The 6,675-nt window shown below is 43.3% G+C and overlaps 4 annotated features.

Moving 5' to 3' along the window:
• Positions 206 to 705: an enhancer, noted in NCBI's record as "H3K4me1 hESC enhancer chrX:25336715-25337214 (GRCh37/hg19 assembly coordinates)". NCBI's record gives its function as "activates a minimal SCP1, AML or CMV promoter by ChIP-STARR-seq in naive H9 embryonic stem cells {active_cell/tissue: H9 hESC(naive)}" and the evidence as "EXISTENCE:reporter gene assay evidence [ECO:0000049][PMID:30033119]".
• Positions 706 to 1,207: an enhancer, noted in NCBI's record as "H3K4me1 hESC enhancer chrX:25336213-25336714 (GRCh37/hg19 assembly coordinates)". NCBI's record gives its function as "activates a minimal SCP1, AML or CMV promoter by ChIP-STARR-seq in naive H9 embryonic stem cells {active_cell/tissue: H9 hESC(naive)}" and the evidence as "EXISTENCE:reporter gene assay evidence [ECO:0000049][PMID:30033119]".
• Positions 3,247 to 3,747: an enhancer, noted in NCBI's record as "H3K4me1 hESC enhancer chrX:25333673-25334173 (GRCh37/hg19 assembly coordinates)". NCBI's record gives its function as "activates a minimal SCP1, AML or CMV promoter by ChIP-STARR-seq in primed H9 embryonic stem cells {active_cell/tissue: H9 hESC(primed)}" and the evidence as "EXISTENCE:reporter gene assay evidence [ECO:0000049][PMID:30033119]".
• Positions 3,748 to 4,248: an enhancer, noted in NCBI's record as "H3K4me1 hESC enhancer chrX:25333172-25333672 (GRCh37/hg19 assembly coordinates)". NCBI's record gives its function as "activates a minimal SCP1, AML or CMV promoter by ChIP-STARR-seq in primed H9 embryonic stem cells {active_cell/tissue: H9 hESC(primed)}" and the evidence as "EXISTENCE:reporter gene assay evidence [ECO:0000049][PMID:30033119]".

The following is a 6,675-nucleotide window of genomic DNA, read 5'->3' as shown; positions in this document are numbered from 1 at the left end:
CTGCTTCTGAATGACATTTGGGTAAACAATAAAATTAAGGCAGAAATCAAATTATTTGAAACTAATGAAAACAAAGATAAAACATTTAAGAATCTATGGGACACAGCTACAGCAATGTTAAGAGGAAAGTTTGTAGTGCTAAAGGCCCACATCAAAAAGTTAGAAAGTTCTCAATTAACAACCTAACATGACACCTAGAGGAACTAGAAAAACAAGAGCAAACTGGGGGTGGAGCCAAGATGGCCGACTAGGAACAGCTCCAGTCTGCAGCTCCCAGCGTGAGCGACGCAGAAGACAGGTGACTTCTGCATTTCCAACTGAGGTACTGGGTTCATCTCACTGGGGAGTGCCGGACAGTGGGTGCAGGACAGTGGGTGCAGCACACCAAGCGTGAGCTGAAGCAGGGCGAGGCATTGCCTCACCCAGGAAGCACAAGGGGTCAGGGAATTCCCGTTCCTACTCAAAGAAATGGGTGACAGACGGCACCTGGAAAATCAGGTCACTCCCACCCTAATACCGCACTTTTCCAACGGGCTTATCAAATGGCACACCAGGAGATTATATCCTGCACGTGACTTGGAGGGTCCTACACCCATGGAGCCTCGATCATTGCTAGAACAGCAGTCTCAGATGAAACTGCAAGGCGGCAGAGAGGCTGGGGGAGGGGCGCCCACCATTGCTCAGGCTTGAGTAGGTAAACAAGACGGCCAGGAAGCTCGAACTAGGTGGAGCCCACCACAGCTCAAGGAGGCCTGCCTGCCTCTGTAGGCTCCACCTCTGGGGGCAGGGCACAGACAAACAAAAGACAGCAATAACCTCTGCAGACTTAAATGTCCCTGTCTGACAGCTTTGAAGACAGTAGTGGTTCTCCCAGCACGCAGTTGGAGATCTGAGAACGGACAGACTGCCTCCTCAAGTGGGTCCCTGACCCCCGAGTAGCCTAACTGGGAGACACCCGCCAGTAGGGGCAGACTGACACCTCACACGGCTGGGTACTCCTCTGAGACAAACCTTCCAGAGGAACGATCAGACAACAGCATTTGCGGTTCACCAATATCCGCTGTTCCGCAGCCACTGCTGCTGATACCCAGGCAAACAGGGTCTGGAGTGGACCTCCAGTAAACATCAACAGACCTGCCACTGAGGGTCCTGACTGTTAGAAGGAAAACTAACAAACAGAAAGGACATCCACACCAAAAACCCATCTGTACATCACCATCATCAAAGACCAAAGGTAGATAAAACCACAAAGATGGGGAAAAAACAGAGCAGAAAAACCAGAAACTCTAAAAATCAGAGCGCCTCTCCTCCTCCTAAGGAATGCAGCTCCTCACCAGCAACGGAACAAAGCTGGATGGAGAATGACTTTGACGAGTTGAGAGAGGAAGGCTTCAGAAGATCAAACTACTCCGAGCTAAAGGAGGAAGTTCGAACCAATGGCAAAGAAGTTAAAAACTTTGAAAAAAAATTAGATGAATGGATAACTAGAATAACCAATGCAGAGAAGTCCTTAAAGGACCTGATGGAGCTGAAAACCATGGCACGAGAACTACGTGACGAATGCACAAACCTCAGTAACCGATACGATCAACTGGAAGAAAGGGTGTCAGTGATGGAAGACGAAATGAATGAAATGAAGCGTGAAGAGAAGTTTAGAGAAAAAAGAATAAAAAGAAATGAAAAAAGCCTCCAAGAAATATGGGACTATGTGAAAAGACCAAATCTACATCTGATTGGTGTACCTGAAAGTGACGGGGAGAATGGAACCAAGTTGGAAAACACTCTGCAGGATATTATCCAGGAGAACTTCCCCAATCTAGCAAGGCAGGCCAACATTCAAATTCAGGAAATACAGAGAACACCACAAAGATACTCCTCGAGAAGAGAAACTCCAAGACACATAATTGTCAGATTCACCAAAGTTGAAATGAAGGAAAAAATGTTAAGGGCAGCCAGAGAGAAAGGTCAGGTTACCCACAAAGGGAAGCCCATCAGACTAACTGCTGATCTCTCGGCAGAAACTCTACAAGCCAGAAGACAGTGGGGGCCAGTATTCAACATTCTTAAAGAAAAGAATTTTCAACCCAGAATTTCATATCCAGCCAAACTAAGCTTCATAAGTGAAGGAGAAATAAAATACTTCACAAACAAGCAAATGCTGAGAGATTTTGATACCACCAGACCTGCCCTAAAAGAGCTCCTGAAGGAAGCACTGAACATGGAAAGGAACAACCAGTACCAGCCACTGCAAAAACATGCCAAAATGTAAAGACCATCAAGGCAAGAAAGAAACTGCATCAACTAACGAGCAAAATAACCAGCTAACATCATAATGACAGGATCAAATTCACACATAACAATACTAACCTTAAATGTAAATGGGCTAAATGCTCCAATTAAAAGGCACAGGCTGGCAAATTGGATAAAGAGTCAAGACCCACCAGTGTGCTGTATTCAGGAAACCTATCTCATGTGCAGAGACACACATAGGCTCAAAATAAAGGGACGGAGGAAGATCTACCAAGCAAATGGAGAACAAAAAAAGGCAGGGGTTGCAATCCTAGTCTCTGATAAAACAGACTTTAAACCAACAAAGATCAAAAGAGACAAAGAAGGCCATTACATCATGGTAAAGGGATCAATTCAACAAGAACTAACTGTCCTAAATATATATGCACCCAATACAGGAGCACCCAGATTCATAAAGCAAGTCCTGAGTGACCTACAAAGAGACTCAGACTCCCACACAATAATAATGGGAGACTTTAACACCCCACTGTCAACATTAGACAGATCAATGAGGCAGAAAGTTAACAAGGATATACAGGAATTGAACTCAGCTCTGCACCAAACAGACCTAATAGACATATACAGAACTCTCCACCCGAAATCAACAGAATAGACATTCTTTTCAGCACCACACCACACCTATTCCAAAATTGACCACATAGTTGGAAGAAAAGCCCTCCTCAGCAAATGTAAAAGAACAGAAATTATAATAAACTGTCTCTCAGACCACAGTGCAATCAAACTAGAACTCAGGATTAAGAAACTCACTCAAAACCGCTCAACTACATGGAAACTGAACAACCTGCTCCTGAATGACTACTGGGTACATAATGAAATGAAGGCAGAAATAAACATGTTCTTTGAAACTAACGAGAACAAAGACACAACATACAACAATCTCTGGGACACATTCAAAGCAATCTGTAGAGGGAAATTTATAGCACTAAATGCCCACAAGAGAAAGCAGGAAAGATCTAAAATTGACACCCTAACATCACAATTAAAAGAACTAGGAAGGAGATCCAAGATGGCCGAATAGGAACAGCTCTGGTCTACAGCTCCCAGCGTGAGCAACACAGAAGACAGGTGATTTCTGCATTTCCATCTGAGGTACCGGGTTCATCTCACTAGGGAGTGCCAGACAGTGGGCACAGGACAGTGGGTGCAGCACACCGTGTGCGAGCCGAAGCAGGGCGAGGCATTGCCTCACTCGGGAAGCACAAGGGGTCAGGGAGTTCCCTTTCCTGGTCAAGGAAAGGGGTGACAGACGGCACCTGGAAAATCAGGTCACTCCCACCTGAATACTGCGCTTTTCCAATGGGTTTAGGAAACGGTGCACCAAGAGATTATATCCCGCACCTGGCTCGGAGGATCCTATGCCCTCGCAGTTTCACTGATTGCTAGTACAGCAGTCTGAGATCGAACTGCAAGGCAGCAGCAAGGCTGGGGAAGGGGCGCCCACCATTGCCCAGGCTTGCTTAGGTAAACAAAGCAGCCAGGAAGCTCCAACTGGGTGGAGCCCACCACAGCTCAAGGAGGCCTGCCTGCCTCCGTAGGCTCCACCTCTGGGGGCAGGGCACAGACAAACAAAAAGACAGCAGTAACCTCTGCAGACTTAAATGTCCCTGTCTGACAGCTTTGAAGAGAGCAGTGGTTCTCCCAGCACGCAGCTGGAGATCTGAGAACGGGCAGACTGCCTCCTCAAGTGGGTCCCTGACCCCTGACCCCCGAGCAGCCACATAGTTGGAAGTAAAGCCCTCCTCAGCAAATGTAAAAGAACAGAAATTATAACAAACTGTCTCTCAGACCACAGTGCAATCAAACTAGAACTCAGGATTAAGAAACTCACTCAAAACCGCTCAACTACATGGAAACTGAACAACCTGCTCCTGAATGACTACTGGGTACATAATGAAATGAAGGCAGAAATAAAGATGTTCTTTGAAGCCAACGAGAACAAAGACACAACATACAAGAATCTCTCGGACACATTCAAAGCAGTGTGTAGAGGGAAATTTACAGCACTAAATGCCCACAAGAGAAAGCAGGAAAGATCCAGAATTGACACCCTAACATCACAATTAAAAGAACTAGAAAAGCAAGAGCAAAGACATTCAAAAGCTAGCAGAAGGCAAGAAATAACTAAAATCAGAGCAGAACTGAAGGAAATAGAGACACAAAAAACCCTTCAAAAAATTAATGAATCCAGGAGCTGGTTTTTTGAAAGGATCAACAAAATTGATAGACCGCTAGCAAGACTAGTAAAGAAAAAAAGAGAGAAGAATCAAATAGACGCAATAAAAAATGATAAAGGGGATATCACCACTGATCCCACAGAAATACAAACTACCATCAGAGAATACTACAAACACCTCTACGCAAATAAACTAGAAAATCTAGAAGAAATGGATAAATTCCTCAACAAATACACTCTCCCAAGACTAAACCAGGAAGAAGTTGAATCTCTGAATGGACCAATAACAGGATCTGAAATTGTGGCAATAATCAATAGCTTACCAACCAAAAAGAGTCCAGGACCAGATGGAATCACAGCCGAATTCTACCAGAGGTACAAGGAGGAACTGGTACCATTCTTTCTGAAACTATTCCAATCAATAGAAAAAGAGCGAATCCTCCCTAACTCATTTTATGAGGCCAGCATCATCCTGATACCAAAGCCAGGCAGAGACACAACAAAAAAAGAGAATTTTAGACCAATAGCCTTGATGAACATTGATGCAAAAATCCTCAATAAAATACTGGCAAACCAAATCCAGCAGCACATCAAAAAGCTTATCCACCATGATCAAGTGGGCTTCATCCCTGGGATGCAAGGCTGGTTCAATATATGCAAATCAATAAATGTAATCCAGCATATAAACAGAACCAAAGACAAAAACCACATGATTATCTCAATAGATGCAGAAAAGGCCTTTGACAAAATTCAACAACGCTTCATGCTAAAAACTGTCAATAAATTAGGTATTGATGGGACGTATCTCAAAATAATAAGAGCTATCTATGACAAACCCACAGCCAATATCATACTGAATGGACAAAAACTGGAAGCATTCCCTTTGAAAACTGGCACAAGACAGGGATGCCCTCTCTCACCACTCTTATTCAACATAGTGTTGGAAGTTCTGGCCAGGGCAATGAGGCAGGAGAAAGAAATAAAGGGTATTCAATTAGGAAAAGAGGAAGTCAAATTGTCCCTGTTTGCAGACGACATGATTGTATATCTAGAAAACCCCATTGTCTCAGCCCAAAATCTCCTTAAGCTGATAAGCAACTTCAGCAAAGTCTCAGGATACAAAATCAATGTGCAAAAATCACAAGCATTCTTATACACCAATAACAGACAAACAGAGAGCCAAATCATGAGTGAGCTCCCATTCACAATTGCTTCAAAGAGAATAAAATACTTAGGAATCCAACTTACAAGGGATGTGAAGGACCTCTTCAAGGAGAACTACAAACCACTGCTCAATGAAATAAAAGAGGATACAAACAAATGGAAGAACATTCCATGCTCATGGCTAGGAAGAATCAATATCGTGAAAATGGCCATACTGCCCAAGGTGATTTATAGATTCAATGCCATCCCCATCAAGCTACCAATGACTTTCTTCACAGAATTGGAAAAAACTACTTTAAAGTTCATATGGAACCAAAAAAGAGCCCACATCGCCAAGTCAATCCTAAGCCAAAAGAACAAAGCTGGAGGCATCACGCTACCTGACTTCAAACTACACTACAAGGCTACAGTAACCAAAACAGCATGGTACTGGTACCAAAACAGAGATATAGACCAATGGAACAGAACAGAGCCCTCAGAAATAACACCGCATATCTACAACTATCTGATCTTTGACAAACCTGACAAAAACAAGAAATGGGGAAAGGATTCCCTATTTAATAAATGGTGCTGGGAAAACTGGCTAGCCATATGTAGAAAGCTGAAACTGGATCCCTTACTTACACCTTATACAAAAATTAATTCAAGATGGATTAAAGACTTAAACGTTAGACCTAAAACCATAAAAACCCTAGAAGAAAACCTAGGCAATACCATTCAGGACATAGGCATGGGCAAGGACTTCATGTCTAAAACACCAAAAGCAATGGCAACAAAAGCCAAAGTTGACAAATGGGATCTAGTTAAACTAAAGAGCTTCTGCACAGAAAAGAAACCACTGTCACAGTGAACAGGCAACCTACAGAATGGGAGAAAATTTTTGCAATCTACTCATCTGACAAAGGGCTAATATCCAGAATCTACAATGAACTCAAACAAATTTACAAGAAGAAAACAAACAACCCCATCAAAAAGTGGGCAAAGGATATGAACAGACACTTCTCAAAAGAAGACACTTATGCAGCCAA

Source organism: Homo sapiens, chromosome X (assembly GCF_000001405.40).
Source record: "Homo sapiens chromosome X, GRCh38.p14 Primary Assembly".
NCBI lineage: Eukaryota > Metazoa > Chordata > Mammalia > Primates > Hominidae > Homo > Homo sapiens.
This window is presented reverse-complemented; position numbering and strand designations above follow the sequence as displayed.